The sequence below is a fragment of the Homo sapiens genome, chromosome 16 (assembly GCF_000001405.40).
Source record: "Homo sapiens chromosome 16, GRCh38.p14 Primary Assembly".
NCBI classification, from domain to species: domain Eukaryota; kingdom Metazoa; phylum Chordata; class Mammalia; order Primates; family Hominidae; genus Homo; species Homo sapiens.
The window spans coordinates 691,877-714,774 of NC_000016.10; the positions used below are offsets into that span (position 1 = coordinate 691,877).

Here is a 22,898-nt window from a genome sequence, read left to right on the forward strand (position 1 = left end):
AACCTCCACCCCCTAGGTTCAAGCGATTCAGCCTCAGCCTCCCTAGTAGCTGGGATTATAGGCAACCACCACCACACCCTGTTAATTTTTTGTATTTTTAGTAGAGACAGGGTTTCACCATGTTGGCCAGGCTGGTCTTGAACGCCTGACCTCAGGTGATCCACCCGCTTCGGCCTAAGTGCTAGGATTACAGGCGTGAGCCACTGTGCCCAGCCTCAGTTGCCTTTTTCGACCTCTCTGTCTCTCCTGGGTGTGAGCCATTGTCTGCTATTGGTGCATTTTGTAATCTTTTGCGACATCCTTGTCCTTGCCTGTTACTGTGTATAGAACAGGGTTTATTTCTGCCTCTCTGGAAGGGTGGGCTAGAGTCTGGATATGTTGGAGGGAATATTATGTGTAGTGACTTCAGTGTTGTCTCTCCCTTTAAGGAATGGGAGGTCCTCTGCCTTCCATGTAGTCACTGCTGTTTCCATTCTACCATGTCGGCATCCAGCCTCTACCCCTTTGTTGCAAGAAAGAATAAATCTGATAAGAGGTACAGGAGAATCCCGAGACCTGGGATGCGCAGGGCAGATATGCCCACCTACACCGCTGTCTGGGGACCTAAAAACAACTCAGACACATGTTTTTACAACTTTTTTAATATATATTTTTATAAACAGGTCACGTGATAAAATAGCACAAGAAACACTTACCAAATATAAGGTTATATCTTCCGCATATACAGGAGAATGAGGTCGTTATGTACAATAAGAAAATGATTTTAGGGGTTGGTTGGTTTTGTTTTCCTCTCTCCCCTTAATTTTTCCTCCTACAGTCGTTGGAAATATCACAGCTTCAGTTGCATTAATACTTTGGGCAAATGGACAGCTGCCCCTCCCCACTAGGGGTTGTGGGGAGGAGGGGCTGGAGAAACTGGCTCCTGACCACTCAGCCCTGGAGCTTCCTGGGGCTGGCACTCCAGGGACAGGAAAATCTTTGGGCTGTTGATCTGTTTCTGATTCAACAGCATCTCTCTCTCTCTTTCTCTCTCTCTCTCACTCTCTTTCTCTCTCTCACTCTCTGGCTCTCTGGAAACTGGTTACTCTCTTCCAACCAGATAGGGAGTGTCCCAAGATTGGGTGTGGGCGCGGTATCTCCTGGGGCTCAAGGTTGGGATGGGAAGGGGTCCCAGCCCCCTCCTCAGCAACAGCTGAGATTTGCCAGCATCCCCCAGGACTTCCAAATGTCTCGGGCCGACAGAGCACGGTCAGAGCCCATTTGGGCAGACAGAAGTTTGGGAAGCTGGGGAGGGGTGAAGTGGGGGTGGGGGGGCAGGCTAGAAAGGAGCCCTCCCTCCTCGGGGTGTCTAGGGTGTGCTGGCCACTGGAAGATTGGAGTCGCTGACCCAGTGCTGACCCTGACCCTTGGCTGGGTCCACTCTGCAGACTCCACCTGAGGAGACCCACCCAGGGTGAAGCTCGGTGCCCAGGCCTGAACTGAGCCCGGCCGGGTGCAAGGGCTGAGGTGTGAGGTCGGCCCAGGCCTCTTCCCAGGCCTGAGGGTGGCTACAGCTCGAGGCTTGCAAGGTGCCTGCGCCACCCCTGGGTTGAGGCCGACCGGAGTCAGCTGGGATCACGTTAATGACTCCAAGCGATCGCCAGCCCTTCCGCCCTCTCCCTGCCCAATTCTCTCAGCCTGGCCAGGGACCAAGGCCGGGTTTTGGGGCGGACAGGGGACTGCCCCACACAGCGGCAAGGAGGAGGAGAGGCCGCGTGGGTCAGGCTGGATGGGTGAGGAGGTGCGGGTGGGGCCTGGGCTCTCGGCGGCGGGCCATGGCTTTGGCGGTGGCCTGTTTCCCCTGACACCCCTCGGAGGGCTCCAGGTATGGTGCGGTGGAAGATGCAGGAAGCCCGTGGGGCTCTTCTGGGCCCGTGTCCTGGGGGACCCAGCCCCCTCAATCCCACTGGGCCCTGCCCGGGATGGGGGGGACAGTGGGAAGACAGAGCGGGTGTGGCGGGGAAGGCGGTAAGGGCACAGTCTGGAGAGCTCAAAGCCCCCCCAAGGACCGAGCCCCGCCCCCCAAGCGGGAGGGCGAGCGAGTGATGGCGGCGGCTGTGGCTGTGGCGTGGCGGAGGGCGGCGTGCAGTGCGGGCACGAGGGGCATGCACAAAGTCCCCGAGTGTGCGTGCGTGCGTGGGGCGGGCCCACCCGCCGCCCCCCTGCCCGGGGCGGGGCTGGGAGGGCGGAGGGACCGAAGGTCGGGGAGGGGCTTTCCCTCGGCTCGCCCCGCCTCCCGCGCTGGGCCGGGGGCGCGGGGGCTCCCCCGAGCGCAAGGCGGGAAGAGGGGGCTCGGCGGCGCCCCGCGCCCCCGCCCAGGTCATGGCCGGGTTCCCGCGACCGGGGCGGGGGCCTCGCGCTACTCAATGACGAGGCAGCGGGGCAGGTGCTGCGAGAAATACTTGAAGAGCTCGGGGGTGGCCCCGGGGCAGTTGGTCAGCTCCAGCTCCTCCAGCTCCTGCAGCTGCACCAGGCCCGACAGCCCGGTGGTGGTGAGCAGCGGGCAGCCTGCGGCGGGGTCAGAGGGCGGCTCAGTGCGCGCGGCCCAGGGCTCGGGCGGGGACGGCCGGGCCGCGCCTCCCTCCTCCTCCGCCTCGGACCCGGGACTGTGTGTCCGCGCCGGGTGTGAGTTTGCACAAGGACCGGGCAGGTTGGGCGGGTGGACTAAGTGGGGGTGGGTGGTCACTGCCAGCGTCAGAGCAGAAACGGGGGTCTCACCTGCCAGAGACAGGAGGCGCAAACTCCCCAGGGCCAGGAGGTGCTTCAGCCCGAAGTCTTGCACCTGTCGGGAGTGGAGGAGCGACTTAACGATTTCCGCTCGCACCGAGGCGGAGGGCACCCTGGGGTCCATGGAGGGCTAGGCGGGTTCAAGCCCGGGGTTCCTCCGTCCCCCCCGGAGCCGGGAGGCGGCTGGGAAGTGCTCGTGGGGGCCGCCGGGACCCCTGCGTTCCGCTTAGGTCGGCTGCTGGATAGGGAGGGGCCCCAGACTCTCCCAGGATCTGAGTGGGGCCGGGAGCTCTCCCCGCGCCCCCACCTCCCCGCCGATCCCCCAATCCCGGGGCGTGAGAGCCGGTACCTGGCAGCACCATCGCAGGTAGAGGCTGCGGAGGGACGACATGGTGGACAGATAGCTGAGGCCAGTGTCCGTGATGCGTACACACCTGTGGTTGCACCAGAGGGGACCCCCACCTTCAAATCACCTGGCCCCGGCCATCCCTCGTCTTCCTGGGAGTGCCCCTGGCGTGAATCCCTTCCTGCCCCACCCGGAGCAGCCGCTGGCCCCTCCTCGCTCCCACCCACCGGGAAGGACGGGGGTCCAGCCAACCCGTGCTGCGGTTCTGCGGTTCCCACTCCCCAGGCTCCGAGGGCTCTGCCCGCCGCGCCACAGCCCCAGCCCCGCCGGAAGCCCCCGCCCCCGGCCCCGTGCAGCCCCGCCCCGCCCCGCCCCGTGCAGCCCCGCCCGGCCCAGCCCCGCCCGGCGCGGCCCGGGGGCGCGCACCTGTCGAGCACGAGCTCCTCTAGGCGGTGCAGGTCGCAGGCCACGTACTCCAGCGCCATGTCGGTGATGCGTGGGCACCACGAGAGGTCAAGGCTGCGCAGCTTGCGCAGGTTCTCGGCCACGAGCTCCACGCCGTCGTCGGTGACCTTGGAGCAGCCCGAGAGGCTGAGCGCGGTGAGGTTGGGCAGGCTGTGCACCACGTTGACCACGCCGTGGTTGGTGATCTCCCAGCAGGAGAGCAGGCGCAGCGTGTGCGTGCTGTGGCCCTGGCGCGCCGTGAAGTAGGCCAGCGCCGTGTCCGTCACGTGGTAGGCCTGCAGGCTCAGCTCCGCCAGGTTGGGCAGCAGCTGCGAGATGGCCGCGATGGCGTCGTCGGCCACGTTGATGCAGTCACTCACGCTCAGCGAGGTGATGCGCGCGCTCAGGCTGGACCACAGCCCGGCCTCGGTGAAGTCGTTGCAGCCCGACAGCTCCAGACGCACCACGCCCTGCATCTGTTCAAGCATAACCTGCAGGCGGGCGGGCGCCGGGTCAGGATTGCAGGAGAAGGGGTGGAGCCCGCAGGGAGGAAGCAGTAGGGTGTAAACATGCAGGGAGCTGAACCCTGAAAACATTTGGCAGTGTGTGAGGAGGCGGGGCATCGGGACGAGAGCCCAGGGCCTGGCCAGGGCAGGTGCTGGGGGCGTTGGCACCAGCGTTACAATTAGACTCCAGACCCGGCTGCCAGGCGGCTCCTCTGACCTCTACTCCTGGGGGATCCTTTCCCAGCTGCCCCTCAGCTCCCCCTCGCATCCTCCCCACACTGCATTTGTATTTATTTATTTATTTATTTATTCATTCATTCATTCAATCATTTTGAGACAGAGCCTTACTCTGTTGCCCAGGTCCCAGGCTGGAGTGCAGTGGCATGATCTCAGCTCACTGTACCCCCCGCCTCCCGGGTTCAAGCGATTCTCCTGCCTCAGTGTCCTCCCAAGTAGCTGGGACTACAGGTGCCCACCACCAGGCCTGGCTAATTTCTGCATTTTTAATAGAAATAGAGTTTCACCATGTTGACCAGGCTGGTCATGAACGCCTAACCTCAAGTGAGTGGCCTGCCTCGGCCTCCCATAGTGCCGGGATGACAGGCTTGAGCCACCGGGCCTGGGCCCTGCATTTAATCCACTGCCCTGCTGCTGCCATCTTGAAAATCTTGAGTGTCTTTGAACAAGGGACCCACATTTTCGCTTTGCGCGAGGTCCCCTGTAGTCAGTCCTTCTTTCCTCCCACCCCAAAGCCACCATCCGCTCCCACCTCCATAGGGTTGCTGCTGCCCGCCCCTGCCCCCCAGCCCTGTCCCCCCCGAGCCTGGTGCACACCTCGAGGCCTGCGTCCGTGATGGTGGAGCGCTTGAGGCTCATGGCTTTGACACCCTTCTTGGAGAGCGCATAGTTGTCAATGAACTCACAGATGTCCAGGTCGGAGACGCCAACCAGGCAGAAGCCCTCGAAGCCTCTGGCGGCAAAACCCTGCAGGTTCACGAACTCCTTCTCGCCACCAGGCAGCACGTTGTAGAGCTCCTTGGCATGCAGCACCGGCGTGAGGCCTGCCCAGAACTTGGGCTGGTACAGCACGCGCCGCCAGGCCTTGCACACCTGGGCCAGCACACACTTCTCGCAGGCCGAGAAATACCAGAAGAGCCCATTGAGGATCTTCTCGTCCGTGGCCAGCGGCGGCCGCTCCGCTGGGTGCCCAGGTGCCAAGGCTGAGGCTGGTCCACCTGCCGGGGTGCACGGGCCCCCAGCCAGGGCAGCCCGGGACAGTGGAGCAGCCAGGCTGGGTGGTGGGAGGGTGGGTGGGGGTGGTGGCTGGCAGGGGCGGTTCTTGGTGGCTGGCGTGCCCTTGGTGATGCTGGCCGCACCCAGGCCGTTGGGCTGGCCCGGCAGCTTCACCAGACCGTTTCGAGGCAAGCATGGAGGCTTGGGGTCGCCGTCGATGCCCGGGCTCGACATCTTCCTGGCACGCTCTGTGGATGAGGGCCGGGAGGGGGAGTGAGTCTGTTGCTGAGTCTGGAAGGCCGGGGTTGGGGGCGGGTGCAGTGGGGCTCCTTCCCTCCTTGGGCGTCCCTATGGTGCTCCCAGAACCACCAGACAGAGAGGATGGGAGTGCCTGCTTCTCCCTCCCAGACTGTGAGCAGCAACAGGAAGCCAACCATGGCCACTGGCAGCACTCACTGGGCACCTACGGTATGCACTGAGCCCAACCTTCATTGCCCATGGACACCCTCTTTTTCTTTTGTTTTTTTTCTTTTTGAAACAGAGTTCCGGCCGGGCGCGGTGGCTCATGCCTGTAATCCCAGCACTTTGGGAGGCCGAGGCGGGTGGATCATGAGGTCAGGAGATCGAGACCATCCTGGCTAACACAGTGAAACACCATCTCTTCTAAAAATACAAAAAATTAGCTGGGCATGGTGGCAGGCGCCTGTAGTACCAGCTACTTGGGAGGCTGCAGCAGGAGAATGACGTGAACCCGGGAGGCGGAGCTTGCAGTGAGCCGAGATTGCGCCACTGCACTCCAGCCTGGGCAACTGAGCAAGACTCTGTCTCAAAAAAAAAAAAAAGAAACAGTTTCACTCTTGTTGCCTGGAGCGCAGACTGGAGTGCAGAGACAGGATCTTGGCTCCCCGCAACCTCTCTGCCTCGTAGGTTCAAGTGATTCTCCTGCCTCAGCCTCCCGTGTAGCTGGGAATTCGGGCGCCCACCACCACACCCGGCTAATTTTGTATTTTTAGTAGAGATGGGGTTTCTCCATGTTGGTCAGGCTGGTCTCAAACTCCTGACCTCAAGTGATCCACCCGCCTCAGCCTCCCAAAGTCCTGGGATTATGGGAATGAGCCACCGTGCCTGACCGGAAACCTTTTTGTTTGCCCAGTGAGGCGAAGAAACGCCGACACTTTTTAGCACTTAGGTACCATGATGGCCATTTTACAGAGAAGAAAATGGAGGTGGACCTGGTGAGGCCAGGACTGCTCTCTTGACCTCTCTGCTGTGCCGTCCACTGTAGGTACCCACCAGGCCCACCCCTCTGGGCAGGCCAGGGGAACTGAAGGGAAGGGTCTGGGGTGGCCTCTGGCCCCTCCCCTGCAGGGTGACTGCACAGCGCTCAGGAGGGGCTCTGGTGCTGACTCTGCAGCCACCCTCCACATGCACAGGAGCTTCCCTGGCTCAGAATCTACCCAAGGGGCTGGGTGCAGTGGCTGATGCCTGTAATTCTAGCACTTTGGGAGGCTGAGGTGGGTGGATTACAAGGTCAGGGGTTTGAGACCACCTGGCCAACATGGTGAAACCCCTTCTCTACTAAAAATACAAAAATTAGCCGGGCTTGGTGGCAGGCTCCTGTAATCCCAGCTACTTGGGAGGCTGAGGCAGGAGAATCACTTGAATCCAGGAGGCGGAGGTTGCAGCGAGCCGAGATCACACCACTGTACTCCAGCCTGGGGAACAGAGTGAGACTTTGTCTCAAAAAAAAAAAAAAAAAAAGAAAGAAAGAAAGAAAAAGAAAAAAAGAAAAGAAAAAGAAAAAAGAATCCATGCAAAGAAAGGGCGGGCATCTTCCCAGGGTGTGCTGTGGTGCCAGCATGGTTAGCCCTGGACACAAGCTGTCGCTTTAATCTTCTGCCCAATGAGAACGATGCTGTGATAGCTGTACCCACTGCACAGATGAGGAAACTGAGGCCAAGGCTGGGCAAACTGCCTGCCCGAGGTCATGGCCAGATAAGTGGTGAAGCCAAAGTTCGGGCAGAGCTGGCTGAGGAAGGCCATGCGGAGGTTATCTTCAGGCCAGCGACATCCACGCACAGGGTGGAGTGGGAGCAGTCCCGGGCACCCTCCTCAGGCCTCCAGTCTGTAAGTGGGTGGCAGGGGGCACTGGGCACAGCCACGGAAAGAAGCAGAGGTGGGACCCTCACTGTGCCACCATCTGCTCCACAGTTCGGATCTCCTGCCGCCCCCACCCCGACATCCGGGGAGGAGGTAGAGCCCCTGGGGTCACACGCCCTGGACTTGAAATGGGCCCCACCCTGGCTCTGTGGTCTTGGCAAGCCACTTCCCTTCTCTGAGCCTCAATTTCCTCACCTTGAAGCCTGGGGAGGTGACGGTACCTGCTCCCTTGGGGCATTGCAAAGTGAACGAGCTCAGTGCGTGGCTCATAGCAAGGTCTGGGAGAGTGATGTCTGAGCCCCACGGCCACACTCCAGGGCAAAGCAAGATGCATCTTCCCCGGTCTTAGGTGACTCCAGGACTAAGCCTGGAGCCTCATGCAGGTCCTGCCTTCCTGCCCCAAAATCTCAGAGGAGGGGCCAAAGCCTCTCCCAGCCCACCCTGCCCCCTCCTGCCACAGCCTCACTGGAAGGTCTCTTGGAGCCACCAAGGGGGTGTCTGAGAGTCTCCCACGAAGATTCCAACGCTTGGGGTGGGCCCTGCAATATGCAGACTCTCAGGAAGAGGATGGCTCACATCTTTTTGGCTGAGTGTCCCTTCTGGGGCTACAGGGCCTGGCCTGCTCCACCACAGAGAGTGGCGGGGTCTCGGACGGCACTGCAACCCCAAGGCCCGCAGCCCATTCCCCATAATCTGGTCAGGGGGGAGGGGAGGCAGGGAGGCAGGGAGGCAGTGGGAGGTCCTGCCCCGCTCTTCCCAGCAGCAGGTCCCCACACTGGCTTCCAAGCCCCAGACAGGGCCAGCCTTGCCACCGGTCCACATCTGGGGAGGGGGTGTAGACCGGAGCCGGGACCAGGGGTCTCGCCAGAACACGTGGCCCTCGTGGCTGAGAACCCAGCTTTGGGTTTAAAGTCCTTCCTGCCCTAATGGCAGGAGCCCCAGCTCCACCCTCTGTACCATCTCCCCCTCCCCAGAGTATCATTCGGGTCCTGGAAGGTGAGGCCGGGCCCTCCACAGAGGAGGCACCCACAGCCGGTGACCCCCATCATGTGCCCATGATCAGAAGGCGCGGCCTCCGGAGGCCGACATCACAACGTTTGCAAGGGCCGGCTGGGGTCGGCACATGATTCGACCTCACGGCCGCCCTTAGGGGTGGAGGGGTCGCTACCTCAGGTTTGGGGAAGGAACACGAGGCTCTGAGGAGCGAATTTGCCCCAGGTGTCCGGGGAGGCCTGGCGCGGGGCTGCCTCGGTTCCCTCCCAGAGCCGGGGAGAGGGGATATCGCAGGATGCCGGCGCCCGAGGCGGCAGCACCAGGCCCACGGGCGCCCCAGTCTAAATATCCTCCGTGCCCCTAGAGCGGGGACCCTCGCTCCCCAGACCCGGAAGCGCCGCCTTCCCCGCCAGGGACGCCTGGGCCTCCGCAGACCCCGCCGGCCGGCGCGCCACCCGCGCCAGCACCATGGACAGCGGCCGCCCCAGCCGCGCGCTCAGGGCCAGGCCCGGGCTGGCTTCCACCGCGGACGGCTGCGGGGTCGGGGCAGCCCCGCAATCCCAAATCCCGGCAGCCCCCGCTCAGCAGGGAGGGGCCCCGGGGGCGAAGAGTGGGGGAGAAGCCGGGAAGGATCCGGAGGAGGCGGCGGGGGCGGCGCCAGGGGAGGAATAATCCCGGCGCAGTGCCGATTTAGGTTGAAAACGCTCCCAGTCATGGGCCTGCACGTGGAGCGCCGGGGCTGGGGGAGGCATTCGCGGGGCTCCTTTCCCGCCCCGCTCGGGAGCTCACGTTTGCCGGCGCCCACAGTCCCGTCCCCACCTCCAGGCCTCAGGGTCGAGATGGAGAAACCAAGCCGCACTTTGAGAGCCCACAGGAGGGAGGGGACAGGCTGAGGAGCGGCCGTCTGGGTATGGGTCCGGGGCCTGGCTTCCCTCATCCACACCCGCAGCGCTGCCAGAAGGCGCTGCTCTGCCTGTGGTCAGCCCTCGACCCGTGTGCTTGGTGGGAGCTGCATCCCCGCACAGGCAGCCCCACTGCTCCCCAATCTCGCGTCCACGTTCCTGCCGGCCCCCGCTGCTCCTCACACTCCCGGCTTGACTGACTCAGCCCGAATATCCCCCACCCCGTAGCTCAAAAATGCAAACAGCCACACACTTTGGCCCAGGCATGGGCGCTGCGGGAGAAAGCTGAGCTCAACTGGAGACTGGGGTCTCTCTGCCCGTTCAGCGAGAAGTCCCTGGGGGCTCACACAAGGGCCCCTCTGCTTGGCCCTGGGCCCGGCCCCACCCACCCAGCCAGACGGTCACCAAGGAGCCGGTTCCCATGGCTCACAGAGCCCCCTTTCCTGCTTGGCGACTGTGAGAGCCCTCGTTCCACCCAGAGGGGCTCGGACGACCTGCGTGGGCTGCTAGGGACTGCCTCTCCCTTTAGGGACAAGCAGCCCGGGTGCTAATACGGGGAAGAGACTTGTTAAAAAGGTGGCCATGCCTGCACCATCCTCAGCCTCAGCCCCTGTGGTGCTGGCTCAGCTTGAAGTGGAATCCTGTCAAGGCTCCGGGGCTCACCCCAGGGGAAAGAGAGAGAGGTGGCCCCACCTCAGCTGTCTTGTCCTCAGCAGCCTGAGCCTGGCCTGGGAGCTGCTGGGGAGAGGTGGCCGTGGCCTCTGTGTCCTCCCCAGGGGACGCAGTGTGAAGCGTGTGGCCAGAGTGAGCCTAGGGAGCACGGTGGGGCCTGGGTGCTCCTGGGGGTCCCCACATGTACATGTACAGCATCCAGGCTGACCATTCCCAGACGGCCATGTGGGGGCCCCGCAGGAGCTGCCTCTTCTGCGAATCAAGTCACTGAGCCCGGAGACCTCAGCTCCGGCCCCTTCCCAGCCCTGATGCCACAGCCCAGCCATGCCATTCCTCCTCCCCTGCTCCTCTGCCTGGGCACACGCCGTTCCCCCTGCTTGCCTGGCAGGGTTTCCCTGCCTTAGCCCTGCAAGCTCTTCTCCTCCATCCCTCAGTTCCTGGTGCGAGGTCGCCCCTGCCTCCTGCTCCGGGACCCCCAGCTCTTGAGAAAGCGTCTCCAGGGTCTTGCAATCACATGGGTTATCATCACTGTCCACCTGGTGTCTCTCCTCCTGGCCTGAGGACTCTTGAGGACAGACAGCACCAACGTGCATGGCCTCTGCATGTTCGCGGAATGAATGAATTAGGGAACGAATGAATGAATGCGGAATGTGGCTCCGCTAGCTCAGTCACGCAGAAAGGGGTGCAGCTGCCAAGGCCCCCGGAGGGCTGATGGAGGATTGGTCAAATTTAGGAAGAGGCCGGTCAGCGGGGAAGGCACAGCTCGGGAAATTAACCCGGATCGTGCCATGGCCAGTGTCCGCGGGGAGAGTGGCCTCTGGGGTTGGGACTAGGTTGGTACCTGAGTCACTGAGAGGGCTCCCAAGACCCCAGGGCTGGGGTGGGCCTTGCAATACACAGAGCCTTCGGATGAGGAGGGCCCATCTCCTTTTCAGCTGGCTCTCTCTTCAGGAGCTGCAGGGCTGAGGAAGTGGCTGCCCGTCCTCCACCATCTGGCCTGAGCCAAGAGAGGGAAGGGGGTCCTCCTGCCCCGCTCTCCCTGGCACCACACGCACCCCTCCTCTGACCGGCCAGAGTCCTTCCTTCACACACTGCCTAACTAGGAGTGGGGAAGCAGAGCTTGCAGACGGATTTTCCAGAAGTTACATAGAGCTAGGATTGGCTCCAAAAGCCCCGGGGCTGGCTGATTCCCTCTACCTGGGTCCTGCCAGGTGTACCTCACAGGGTCCTCGCTCTGCCCTGTTCTGCCTCATGGGGTCTCGATGCCTTCCTGCTGGGCCCTGGGCTAGTGGTCTCTCCAAGTACTGCCCTCATCCTGCAGGGTCCCTGCCACGGCGCTGCATTCCTTGCAGAGGCTGCACACCGCGTGCCCACCCCTGGGACATCCTTTTGGACACATGCCTGGGAAACCTCCTCACCCCTCAGCGCCCCCAGTTTGAAGGTCTCTTCCCCCATCTCTGGTGCCCCCATCTCTGTCAGCACCAGACTGGGGCACAGCCTAACCAACCACTCAGCCCTCATAGAACCTCAGGGACCATTGAGCCCTGCCTGCAGAGGGCCTTAGAGCTGGGCAGGGCCCTGGTGGCCAGAGAAATGCACATCGGGCTCCATCTGCAGTGGCAGCCCCAGAGCCTGGCTGACAGCTGGGGTGGCTGGGGATTGGGGACAGGGTGCAGACTGACACATTCCGTGGCAGCCCCGTGACGCAGGCACACCCGCGTCCCTGCCACTTGGCACGTGGCACAGCGGCAGAGCTCCTCTCCCGCCCCCAGTTTGAGATGCTTCTGGGGGTGCACCAGGGGCTCTGAGGAGGGGCACCATGGCGCAGCAGGCACGTGGCCTCAAGAGAAACCCGTGTTGCTGCCCCAGCAGACTGAGGGCCCATGGTCAAGCCCAGGGCAGCTCAGCCTTGAAAGCTGGACACCCTGGGGAGTGGGTGCTGGGATCCAGGCCTCATCTCAGCCCCTGCTCGGAAGAGCATGAGCACCCTCAGAGGCGAGGCCTGGGCCCCTAGTGCCTACTGCTCCAGGCAGCTGCCACTAACCATCACCCCTCTTTCCTGCCCAGTGAAGGAATGAGGCCTGAACCCACACATTGCAGCCAGTTTGGCCGTTGACTCCTCCTGCACCACTGGTGGGGAAGGCTCAGTCACCTGCTCACCCACAGAGCTCCCTTCACTGCCAATCCAGTCATGGGAGGCACAGCAGTGGGTGCCCACATGCAAGGAGATGGGGTCTTCGGGTGGCTGAACAGTGCCACCTGGGTGGGAGATCCCTAACTCTCAGCAACACAAGGCTTCCTGGGTCCATGTCCAGCTGGTTCAAGGGCCCCGTGCCTCCCACACAGGAAGCTGTTTGTGTCCTTCTCATCAGTGGGAGGTAGGACTCGTCCAGCCGCCCCGGAAGTGGGTGTGAGCTGGAGGCAGTGAGTCTGTCGATGGAGGGGCTGAACTCAAGGGTCTGGCCCCAGATGAGGGGCAGTTGGGGTGGCAGGGGGCAGGGAGTGGGGCAAGTGAGTCCTAGGGTTCCCCCACACAGCGATGTTTGCAGCTGGGCCTTGAATTTCCCTCCCCTCCAGGCGGCTCCAGGTCCAGCCCTGTGTCCACCTCTGGCCAGACCAGCCAGGTTCCACTAGGCCTCTGCCCTGGTCCGGGAGACAGAAAACCCTTCAGTCTCCTGGCCTGACCCAGGCCTATCTGCTCCAAGGCTGCTGTCCAGCACCCCACAGAGGGGGTGGGCTGGGAGACGGCCCTGTGTCCAGGGAGGCCTGAGCTGCCCCTGGCCATTGGGCCCTCGGATGCACGGGTGTGGGGGAAGGGCCTGAAGGAAGAGGCAGGTGAGGTGGCCTCCGCCATCTGCTCCTCCTGCGGAGGGCAGGCTGCCCGAACAGAGCCTGGAGCCTGGGAAGGGCCTGGAGTGGCCGCTGGGCCGTCAGTTCCTGAAGCTGCCACCGCAGCCCTCTCTCCTGAGGTGATGGGTGGGGAACGCTCTCCACCCACCTAATCCCCAGGAGGACACCGGACCCCTCCCGAGCAGGTCTGAAGGTGCCGTTTCCCTTCTGAGGCCCTCCAACCTTGGCCAAGGCCCGGTCCCGCCTCCAGAACCAGGAAGGTGCCAGCCTCCCCCCACCCTCCTCCTCCCGCGGGCAGTAGCTCAGCGCAGGCCCCGGGTCCAGAAGCCGCCCGCCCGGGGAGGGCCGCCCCTCAGGCCGCACATCCACGCGACCCCCATGCAGTTTAACGGTCTCTGGCCTGTCACTTCGGTCCGGGGGCGCCCTCTGAGCCGACCAGGCGCCCGGGGTGGAGGCCGGGGGCCTACAATTCCTCCTTTCGGCGTCCCAGGAGGCACGGACCCCCAGCCCCGGCCGAGTGGCCAGTGGGGAGCGGCCCTCTTCCGGGCCAGGGGCCGGGGCGCGGGGCTGCGGGAAGGCCAGGCAGGGACCGAGGCCCAGCGGCCGCGGGGGAGGTGGGGAAGGGGCTGCCGTTACGTAAGCCCTTCCCGGGCGGCGGCGGCGCGGCCCCCACCCCCACCCCGCCCCCTCCTCATTGTGGCCGCCGCGGAGGTGCGGCCTGGCCCCCTCCCGGCCCCGCAGCCCGGCCGCACGCGCACCTTACCTCGGCCCGGGCTCCTGGCTCATGCCACGCTGTCCGCCGGGCGACCTCCCGTCATGGGGAGCCCGGCATGGGCGTCGGCGCGCGGGGGCCGCCGGGGTGCTGGACTGGCCGGCAGGGCCCGGCCGCGCCCTGCGCCCCGCGTCCCGTCCTGGCCGGGCCCCCTCGGCAGCGCACGGAAAGGAGCTCCCCGGTGGGAGAGGATCGGCCGCCCCAAGCCTCCCACCGGGGAGGCTGAGGCTGTGCCCAGATAAATAAGGCCGCTTTGCAGGGAACCAGGCGGGCGCCTCCTCCTCCCCTCGCCCTCCCCGCGCTCCTCCGTGGCCGCCGCCGGCGCCGCGCGCGCCCCCCGCCCGGCACCAAACGCCGCGCCCTCGCGCGCTCCCGGCGTGGCGAGCCAATCCGGGTTCGCGAGCCCGGGCGGGGGCGCCGAGAATGCCGAGCCCCGCCCCCGCCCCGCCCCGGCCCCCGCGCGCGGCGCGCTCCCGGCACGGCGTCCACGAGCACGCGCCAGGCCCGGCACGCGCCCCCGCCCCGCTCGCCGCGGGCACCCGCACAATAACAAACCCCGGCGCGCGGCGGGCGGGGAGGGCGCGGGAGGCAGAAGGGAGGGCGAGGGGAGGCGGGAGAGCAGGCGCCGGCGGGTGGCCCAGGGGTCCGGGGTCCTATGGGGACCGGGGCGGCACCGCGCGTCCCGGCCCTTGGCCACCACTTGGGGAGGCGAGGAAGGCGAGACCCGGCCCAGAGGAGACAGGGTGGTCAGACCCCCGTCTCTGGACCCTCCCGCCCAGCCCACGGCAAGGACCCTTCACAGCCCTCACACCCCCCGCGCACCTGCTGCGTGCCCGGCCGGAAGCCCCTCATTGGAGACCCTGGCACACCCGCAGAGCGCGAAAACAAGTGACTGCACGGATCAGTTCAGACAGTGACAGTGAAAGCACCCGAGGGCTTGCGGTGGTGACTTCTGGCGGGGGCTTCCTGAGGGTGCCCCACTGGAGCTGAGACCCCCCCACGGCGCGAGGGAGGGATGGCTCGGGAATGGGGGTGCAAAGATCCGAGGAGCCTGGCAAGTTCCCTCGGGAATAAACTGGAGGCTGGAGGCGGCGGCGGCTGCTGCAGCCCGGGGCAGGGGTGGGGCGTGCTAGGTTAGGTGGAGGACTCGGTGGGGACCGCTGGAGACCCCAGACGCCCCAGCAGGCTCAGGGCAGGAGAATGGAGGCCAATGGCGCCCTATCCTGGGGTCTCCTGGGAGCAGGGCCGGGGGAGGGAGCAGGTGTGGGGAGAGCAGAGGGGTTCTTTGCACCGGGAAAGAGCTACAGGGCTGAATGGGGCTCCTGAGAGTATCTCAATAGGAGTGAAACCAGCTGCTGTTCCCAGCGTCCTGATGGGAAGCCTGGCCGAAGGGGCCGGTGTGAGGCCTGGGGTCAGCGGGAAGGAGGGTCAGACTGACGGCACCCTGGCTGGGTCCCGGGGTGGGGTGGTTCTGTGCTTGCTGTGGGGGCGCCACTGGGTCTACCTGGGGTGAGCGCAGCAGCTCTTCTGCGTAAGTCTTGCCCGGTACCTGGATACTGACCAAAGAAGGTGCCCGGAGTGGGGCAGACAGGACGAGCCCCGTGAAGACAGTTGGGGCAACAGGGGAGCGGCGGTCCAACCTATCTGGGTGTCTCCGGTGCATGGTCTGGCAGGCTGGCCCTCTGGCAGCAGCTTCCACCCCAGGCGTGGACTGCTCCCGGTAGGAGGGTTTCACCTCGTGCCTGGGGCTCTCACCACAGCAGGTGCCAGGGCCTCAGGCAGAGAACAAGCTGTGCTTGTGTTGAGTCCCAGCTGGGGCTGGAGCCGGACACACCCCAAGCGCACAGGGCAGGCTGGACACACCCCAAGTGCATAGGGTGGGCTGGACACACCCCAAGTGCATAGGGTGAGCGTGGGAGTCAGGCATTTGGGTCATGCAACCCTGGCGAGGCCCAAGAAGCTAGCCCTGCCTGTGGGGAATCTGAGCAGGGAAGAGTGTGTGGAAGATCATCACAGAAAGGCCAACCGTGCTCCTCCAAAGCGGTGACCCACCTGCCCTCCACCTCTGTGACCAGCTGTGACCCACCTACCCCCCACCTCTGTCACCAGCTGTGACCCACCTACCCTCCACCTCTGTCACCAGCTGTGACCCACCTACCCTCCACCTCTGTCACCAGCTGTGACCCACCTACCCTCCACCTCTGTCACCAGCTGTGACCCACCTACCCTCCACCTCTGTCACCAGCTGTGACCCACCTACCCTCCACCTCTGTCACCAGCTGTGACCCACCTACCCTCCACCTCTGTGACCCCACCTGTGCCGGGCAACTTTGTCTGTCTCCACCATGGCTGGTGGCAGCTACTTCCCCATTGGTCTCTCCACCCCTCTCCCATCTCCTTTTCTCCCCAGGGTGCAGCGGGGCCATTTTGCCGTGCAGACATGGTCCTGTTCTTCCCAGGGCCCTGTTCATTCTTTGCTGAAGACTGCACAGCCCTGAGTGCCTGGCACGGCTGGCCCACAGCCTCGCTCTATACCTGGCCCCTTGAGGATGAAGCTTCAGCCACACTGGCCTTCTTCTGGGGCCAGGAGAGTGCCCCATCCCTAACCTGGTGTGCCCCTCCCTTCACCTGGAGCACCCTTCACCTGGGGCACCCCTCACCTGGAGCACCCCTCCCTTCACCTGGAGCTCCCCTGCAGCACCCCTCCCCTGGAGCACCCCTTCCTGGAGCATTTCCTCATGTGGAGCACCCCTCCCTTAGAGCACCTCTCGCCTGGAGCACTCCTCTCCTGGCCCCTTGCCTGGAGCACTCCCTTGCCACCTGTACCTGGGTGACTACTTGCCTTTCAGACCTTGGCTAATGTATTCTCCCCTAGGTGCCCTCCCTCAGGAGGACAGGGCCACAGACCCGTGTCCTCACCTCCCCAGCACCAAGGACCTTCTTTTCTCAGCCTGTGTCTGCCTGGTGTCTGATGGTGCATTTGATGAGCTATTGGCTGACTGTGCCTGCTGAGGGCCAGGGTGCGGTCTTCTTCCCCACCACCCTGTCCCTGGGCACTGAGCCTCCATCTCAGTACGTCACAGGTGCATGGCAAATTTGGCGAATGAGGGAGACAGCGATGCGTCAGCAGCATGAAAGGTGACTGGCACCAGCAGTTTGGATCGCCTCCTGTGGCGGGAGGCCCTTGTAGAGGATACCTTTGGAGAACAGCTCACACCCCAGAGGGAAGTGGCTTGGACAAAGGGGGCTGCTCAGCAGACTTCGATCTCCTCTGGGGGATGTGGATACCGCTCAGGCCCGCACCCCTCCATTGGTCCTGGAGACTGATATGGGAGGCGGTATGTGCCTTGGCTCCGGAGGGCACCTGGAGCACCCCTCACCTGGAGAACCCTCATCCAGAGCACTCCTTTCCTGGAGCACCCCTCACCTGAAGCACCCTCAGTTGGAGCATCCTCTCACCTAGAGAACCCTCACCTGGAGCACCCTGTTACCCGGGGCACCCTCACCTGGAAAACCCTCATCTGGAGCACCTTCTCACCTGGAGAACCGTCACCTGGAGCACCCTGTTACCTGGAGCACCCTGTTACCCGGAGCACCCTCATCTGGAGCACCCCCTCACCTGGAGCACCCCTCACCTGGAGCACCCCTCACCTGGAGAGCCCCTCTCCTGCAGAACCCCTACCAGGAGCATACTTCACCGGGACCACCCCTTGCCTTGATGCCTCAGCACTGAGGAGTCTCCCATCTAGGTGGCTGGGAGGGCACTCTGGAGCCATGGGGATGAGGACCAGAGGCTGCTGGTACATCTTGCCCTGAGACTTTGGAGGACTGCAAGGGGACCCACATTCACTTCAGCTCTGCACCTGTGGTGATATCCCCACACTGGAGAGCAAAGTGATTGCTCCGGGGGCCAGATGGCCACGCCACCATCCCCCCACACACTGCCCCTGCCCCCTGCCTGGAGCACAGCCCGAGAGCACCCAGGATCATCCATGTGAAGCAGCAGGCTGTGGGTATGTTTGGCCGTCCCGACCCCTCCACAGCCAGAATGGGCACCCATAGGCATGAGAACCTCACAGCCATTAGGGGTGCCCTGAGTGCCATGGGCGGTGGGATTTCTCTGATGCCCCCCAGCTCTGCTCCCTGCCTGGCTCGCCCCCTATCAAGGCTAAGGATGACTCAGGGCCCAGCCATCACCATAGCAACACGCGTCGCCTAGCAATGGCGGTCTCCCGGCAACGGTTGTCTCCTAGCAATGGGATATTTTCCTGGGCCCTGGCTGGAGCCCGGCAGTTATTTTTAGCTCCACAGCAAATCAGTCGGCAGCTGCATTTTCGGCTCCTTGAAGAGAGGCAAGGTGTGGGGGGGTGGGTCTCTCGGCAAAGGGAGGAAAGCATCCCCAAGATAGGAATCTTGCTGCCGTGGGCCCGGAGGTGCAGGCCTGTGGGTGGGCGAGGCCGGATCCTGCCTGTGCAGGGGGGCAGGTGGCCGGTGGAGGGGAGCCAGGGGTTGTGCAGGCTGCCTGGATGAGTCGGCAGCTAGGACTATGTCCTTGATGGGCCCCCAAGCACCCTGAGCCTCATAGGTCGGCTGGGTAGAGGGGACGCAGGCCAGTGCTCACAGCTGCACTATCAGAGCATGTTTCTGGGTGGCCCAGGGTCTGGCAGGCTCTTGGCACCCAGTGCCCCTCAGCTGTGGGAGCCATCTTCACTGTCCCAGACCCCAGCTCCACCCAGGGAGGGGGCAGCAGGGCGGCCGCAGAGCAGCACATTTGGCCAATCCCGTGCAGGGCTCAGCTGGGGACACAGGAGGCGCTGGCTTCAGGTCAGCCCACACCTCTCTCCTCGCTCCGCTGCCAGTGAACAGAGACACAGGCGGGGGTCTTGGCCTACGATCTGGCCCTTCTCTCTAGGCTTCCTCCCCATTTCCTGGGGGATCCTGTTCACCGGTGCGTCCAAACTCCCCAACTCCCTCAGGGCAGATGGGCTGGGTGGGGCCGGCCTTACCCGCCTCCCCTTTGCAGCAGGTCAAAGGCTCTGAGGCAGATGGAGCTTCAAGCAAACAAGGAGCCCCCAGGGCTCACCCTCTGTGGTTCCTGGTTTACTCGAAGTTCTGTCTGCCTCAGGGCCTTTGCCCCTCTTCTCCCCAGGGTTGGGGCTCCCTTCCTGCCCCCCCATCAACTCCCCTCGTCCTTGATGTTGCTCCCCCAGGGCCCCAGCCAGCCAGCTCCTGCCCTGGCCGTGACAGCTGCTATTCTGTGCCCGGCACTGTGGTGTCCCCAGCGGGTTGTTCGGCACTCCGTGGCGCAGCCACCTGTCCGCAGCCGCTCCCCTGCGGGACGTGGGCTGCCTGTGCCACGCACTGCTGGGGCCCAGCTCATGGCAAATGCAGCACTGGTGTCCTCCACGGGCCGGAACCTGTGTCTGGGGGGAGAACGCAGTGGCCGAAGGTGGGAACCATGTGGCAGTGACCAGGGTCTCGACCGCCCCCACCCCAGCACCCCCTCAGGCTGCAGCTCCAAGGGCCCTCTGGGCAAGACAGGAACAGAAACCAAGTCTCAGGCTTCGGGACAAGCTGTGAGGCTGGCCGCCCTGCCTTGGGCTGAGGGGCCTTGTGATATGGCGTCTGTGTTTGGCCACGGCCAGGCTGACCCGCAGGCGGGAGAGATGATTGTCCCAGACTCTGCACTCTCCAGGGGTGGCCTCACGCGCTAGGCCCAAGGTTTCTGAAACAAAGCCTCAGGGAAGTTCTTCCTTTTGTCTGACTTGAGTATGTCTTGCTGCTGTCGCGTTCTGACTTGGGTGGAAATGGAGAGAGGCCCCTTCTGGGGTTTCAGGGCACTCAAGGGTCTGGGGCTTGGGGCACTTGAGGGGGCCCCCAAACAGCACAGACAGCCACGGCATCACCTAAGCTTGGGGATGCCTTCCAGGCACTCCTCCGCCCAGCCACCCCCCACTTAGTCTGCTGGTATTTACTGAGCACCAGCACCCTGGCAAGTCGGGTCCTGTACCCATAGCAACTGAGGACAGACTCGGCCTTCCAGGCCCCTCCTGTAGGCAGCACAGCACTCACTGATGCCAGGTGCTTTCCTGGGTGGGGCCGGGGGCTGTGAGGAAAAGGGGTGTGTGTCCAGGGCTTCTCCTGTGGGTGGCTGCATTGGCACCGGATCCCCGGAGATGAGGCTGGGGAGGAGGCAGGGACGCCCGGGGTTGAGGCGTCAACTCGGGGCCAGGCATGTGCCATTCCAGACCAGGTCACCCCAGGAACCCCTCCCTCCAACCACAGACACTGGCCCCTCTCTGGAGGAGGCCTGGGGAGAAGTCCGGGGCCCAGGCTGTCAGGAGGGTGTCTGGGGCTGACCCTCACGCCGCCACCAGAGGGCGCCTGGAGCCCACCGTGCTGACCCGGGGACCGCCAAGCGGCAGCAGCCCTGGACGGCTGGGTGGCTGCAGCGGCCGACCCGTGTGCCTCTCCCCACCTCTGCGAGCACCTCATGTGCTCAGCCCCAGGCCGAGTCTACCCTTTAACCTTTACGATTTTTATATTTTATTTATTTATTTTTTAATTTTTATTGAGACAGGGTCTCTTCTGTCGCCCTGGTTGGAGTGCAGTGGTGCAATCACAGCTCACTGCAGCCTCACCCTCCTGGGCTTAAGCAATCCTCCTGCCACAGCCTCCCAAAGTGCTAAGACTACATGCATGAGCTGCTGCACCCAGCTAATTTTTGTAGTTTTAGTGGAGTTGGGGTTTCAACATGTTGGCCAGGCTGGTCTTGAACTCCTGATGTCAAGCGATCATCCTGCCTCAGCCTCCCAAAGTGCTGAGATTACAGGCAGGAGCTGCCACACCCGGCCTTAATTTTTATGTAATTAATTAATTAATTTTTATGAGACAGACTCTCACTCTGTCACCCAGGCTGGAGTGCAGTGGCCTGATCTCAGCTCACTGCAACCTCCACCTCCCGGGTTCAAGCGGTTCTCCTGTCTCAGCCTCCCAAGTAGCTAGGACTGCAGGCGTGCGCCACCACGTCCAGCTAATTTTTGTATTTTTAGTAGAGATGGGGTTTCACCATGTTGGCCAGGCTGGTCTCGAACTCCCGACCTTGTGATCTCCCTGCCTTGGCCTCCCAAACTGCTGAAATTACAGGTGGGAGCCGCTGCGCCTTGACAATTTTTATTTTTAATTGTAAGATATACATCATAACATCTACCATTTTACCCATTTTAAAGTGTGCAGTTCCGTACTGTTGAGTACATTTGTGTTGTGTAATCAAGCTCCTGAATTCTGTCCCCATTAAGCTCCAATCCCTCATTCCCCTCCCCAGCCCCTGCTCCACTTTCTGTCCTCATGACCGTGACTACTCTAAGGTGACTCACAGAAGTGGAATCCAACAGTGTTTGTCCTTTTGTCTCTGGCTTATTTTGCTCAGCGCATAAGCCTCCAGGCTCATCCAGGCTGTAGCGGGTGTCAAGGGACCAGAACTTCATTCCTTTTTATGGCTTAATAATGGACCCACCGCCAGGGGGTGCCGTGGCTCATGCCTGTAATCCCAACACTTTGGGAGGCTGAGGTGGGCGGATCACCTGAGGTCGGGAGTTCAAGACCAGCCTGACCAGCATGGAGAAACCTCGTCTCTACTAAAAATACAAAATTAGCCGGCATGATGGCACATGCCTGTAATCCCAGCTGCTCGGGAGGCTGACGCAGGAGAATCGCTTGAACCCAGGAGGTGGAGGTTGCAGTGAGCCAAGATCGCGCCATTGCACTCCAGACTGGGCAAAGAGCGAAACTCCATCTCAAAAAAAAAAAAAAAAAAAAAAAAAAAAAAGAGGCCGGGCGCGGTGGCTCACATCTGTAATCCCAGCACTTTGGGAGGCCAAGGCGGGCAGATCACGAGGTCAGGAGATCGAGACCATCCTGGCTAACACGGTGAAACACCCTCTCTACTAAAAAAAGAAAAAATACAAAAATTTAGCCGGGTGTGGTGGCGGGCGCCTGTAGTCTCAGCTGCTCGGGAGGCTGAGGCAGGAGAATGGCATGAACCCAGGAGGCAGAGGTTGCAGTGAGCCGAGATCGAGCCACTGCACTCCAGCCTGGGCGACAGAACGAGATTCCGTCTCAAAAAAAAAAAAAAAAATGGACCCACTGCACTTGCTTGTCCACTCAGCTGCAGACAGGCCTTTGGGAGTCTTCCACCTTTTGGGGATTGTGATGGCTACTTCTGACCTGCACCTCGCCCAGAGCAAGGGGCTGGCCGAGCCCAGTAGGCGCCTTGTTCCTGTTTGGCCTGGGAGGGCCCTGGGGTTGAGGGAGGGCCTGGTCAGTGGGATCCAGCCTCCCACTGCCACTGAGCCATCTGGCCTCATCTGTCCGACTGCCACTGGTGAACTCATCTGTCCACCATGAGTTTCGAGCGCCGGGTGGCAGGAGGTTTGGGGGCAGGGGACGGAATGTTCACATCTTCAGGCTGCACAGTCTATGCTGGTCCTTGCAGTCCCCGGCTAAAGCTTCTGTCGTCCGTAAGGGGTTCAGTATGTAGTGGGACCCCTTTGCTTGTGCCTTAGGCCTTCTGTGATCTGACCTGTCGTCCCCACCCACCACCCATGCCCTGGGGTTTCACTGGGCTGCCAAGAGCTCCTTCCTCAGGCCCTTGACCCAGGCTGTCTGCTCTCCCCCATTCTCTTCCTGTCCACCTGGCCAGCCACTGCCCACTTCCTCCCATCAGGCCAACTCAGCAGTCCCGGATGCTGGGAATCCCACACTGCTCCAGCCTGAGGCTACAGTGTGTTTGCGAATCGCCTGTTTCTGCTTGTTTCATCTTGGTGGGGGCTGCTCCTGTGGCCCAGGGGTGTCCTCCCAGCTCCTGTGTCTCCACGTGCTGCAGGCCTGCAGGGGTGCCCGTGGCTGCTCCATTCACGCCCCTCCAGGAGCCCCGTCTGGCCCGGGGTCGGTCATCCGGCAACTATGGGGTGCCGCTAGGTCTGAGGAAAGGGGCCTAAGCCTGCGGGCTGCGCGCTCTTCAGCAGGACCCCCTCCTGCAGACGGCCTTACCAAAACCCGAGGCCTGGCCCCGCTCCAAGGCGCAGCCCCCAGGCCAGGCCTTCCCCGCCTCTGGAGTCATGACCCCTCTCCTCTGGGGCTCCACCGGCCTCTGGTCAGCAGGACCGGACCTGGTTGGGAGGGATGTGGCCAACAGGCCCAGGTCCCAGTGTTAGGAAGGAGCAGGCCCGGCCGCCCGCGAGGCGGAACCACCA

The 22,898-nt window shown here is 62.9% G+C and overlaps 1 protein-coding gene across 2 annotated transcripts, besides 11 other annotated features; it reads right to left on the reverse strand.

Annotated features, from left to right (window-relative positions):
• Window positions 1-623: 623 nt before the first annotated feature.
• On the reverse strand, window positions 624-13,925 carry FBXL16 (F-box and leucine rich repeat protein 16). Of its 2 annotated transcripts, none has more exons than NM_153350.4 (6): window positions 13,636-13,925; window positions 4,897-5,543; window positions 3,539-4,047; window positions 3,116-3,200; window positions 2,758-2,821; window positions 624-2,547 (listed from the first exon to the last, which is right to left on the reverse strand). In NM_153350.4, the coding sequence occupies exons 2-6, from the start codon at window positions 5,527-5,529 to the stop codon at window positions 2,399-2,401; spliced, it is 1,440 nt and encodes a 479-aa protein (NP_699181.2). In that variant the 5' UTR covers window positions 5,530-5,543; window positions 13,636-13,925; the 3' UTR covers window positions 624-2,398. The 2 variants fall into 2 exon arrangements, with proteins under 2 accessions (NP_699181.2, XP_047289602.1); XM_047433646.1 differs by having other exon boundaries at window positions 13,631-13,925.
• Window positions 3,433-3,552: a silencer, noted in NCBI's record as "silent region_6942". NCBI's record gives its function as "represses an Ori minimal core promoter by ATAC-STARR-seq in GM12878 lymphoblastoid cells {active_cell/tissue: GM12878}" and the evidence as "EXISTENCE:reporter gene assay evidence [ECO:0000049][PMID:35858748]".
• Window positions 3,633-3,802: an enhancer, noted in NCBI's record as "active region_10213". NCBI's record gives its function as "activates an Ori minimal core promoter by ATAC-STARR-seq in GM12878 lymphoblastoid cells {active_cell/tissue: GM12878}" and the evidence as "EXISTENCE:reporter gene assay evidence [ECO:0000049][PMID:35858748]".
• Window positions 3,823-3,872: an enhancer, noted in NCBI's record as "active region_10214". NCBI's record gives its function as "activates an Ori minimal core promoter by ATAC-STARR-seq in GM12878 lymphoblastoid cells {active_cell/tissue: GM12878}" and the evidence as "EXISTENCE:reporter gene assay evidence [ECO:0000049][PMID:35858748]".
• Window positions 8,181-9,010: an enhancer, noted in NCBI's record as "H3K27ac-H3K4me1 hESC enhancer chr16:750057-750886 (GRCh37/hg19 assembly coordinates)". NCBI's record gives its function as "activates a minimal SCP1, AML or CMV promoter by ChIP-STARR-seq in naive H9 embryonic stem cells {active_cell/tissue: H9 hESC(naive)}" and the evidence as "EXISTENCE:reporter gene assay evidence [ECO:0000049][PMID:30033119]".
• Window positions 8,903-9,002: a silencer, noted in NCBI's record as "silent region_6943". NCBI's record gives its function as "represses an Ori minimal core promoter by ATAC-STARR-seq in GM12878 lymphoblastoid cells {active_cell/tissue: GM12878}" and the evidence as "EXISTENCE:reporter gene assay evidence [ECO:0000049][PMID:35858748]".
• Window positions 14,514-15,130: an enhancer, noted in NCBI's record as "H3K4me1 hESC enhancer chr16:756390-757006 (GRCh37/hg19 assembly coordinates)". NCBI's record gives its function as "activates a minimal SCP1, AML or CMV promoter by ChIP-STARR-seq in naive H9 embryonic stem cells {active_cell/tissue: H9 hESC(naive)}" and the evidence as "EXISTENCE:reporter gene assay evidence [ECO:0000049][PMID:30033119]".
• Window positions 14,514-15,746: a biological region, named in NCBI's record as "H3K4me1 hESC enhancers GRCh37_chr16:756390-757006 and GRCh37_chr16:757007-757622".
• Window positions 15,009-15,225: a silencer, noted in NCBI's record as "fragment chr16:756885-757101 (GRCh37/hg19 assembly coordinates)". NCBI's record gives its function as "represses an EF-1alpha promoter that drives an FKBP-Casp9 reporter gene in an ReSE screen in K562 erythroleukemia cells {active_cell/tissue: K562}" and the evidence as "EXISTENCE:reporter gene assay evidence [ECO:0000049][PMID:32094911]".
• Window positions 15,131-15,746: an enhancer, noted in NCBI's record as "H3K4me1 hESC enhancer chr16:757007-757622 (GRCh37/hg19 assembly coordinates)". NCBI's record gives its function as "activates a minimal SCP1, AML or CMV promoter by ChIP-STARR-seq in naive H9 embryonic stem cells {active_cell/tissue: H9 hESC(naive)}" and the evidence as "EXISTENCE:reporter gene assay evidence [ECO:0000049][PMID:30033119]".
• Window positions 19,984-20,113: a silencer, noted in NCBI's record as "silent region_6944". NCBI's record gives its function as "represses an Ori minimal core promoter by ATAC-STARR-seq in GM12878 lymphoblastoid cells {active_cell/tissue: GM12878}" and the evidence as "EXISTENCE:reporter gene assay evidence [ECO:0000049][PMID:35858748]".
• Window positions 22,258-22,856: an enhancer, noted in NCBI's record as "H3K27ac-H3K4me1 hESC enhancer chr16:764134-764732 (GRCh37/hg19 assembly coordinates)". NCBI's record gives its function as "activates a minimal SCP1, AML or CMV promoter by ChIP-STARR-seq in naive H9 embryonic stem cells {active_cell/tissue: H9 hESC(naive)}" and the evidence as "EXISTENCE:reporter gene assay evidence [ECO:0000049][PMID:30033119]".

Coding starts and splice junctions, on each gene's coding strand:
- FBXL16 (NM_153350.4), bottom strand. CDS start 5,529: ATGTCGAGCCCGGGCATCGACGGCGACCCCAAGCCTCCATGCTTGCCT. Junction 3,201..3,538: donor GAGGAGCTCGTGCTCGACAG/GTGCGCGCCCCC, acceptor GTGCAACCACAG/GTGTGTACGCATCACGGACA. Junction 2,822..3,115: donor ACCTGCGATGGTGCTGCCAG/GTACCGGCTCTC, acceptor CACTCCCGACAG/GTGCAAGACTTCGGGCTGAA.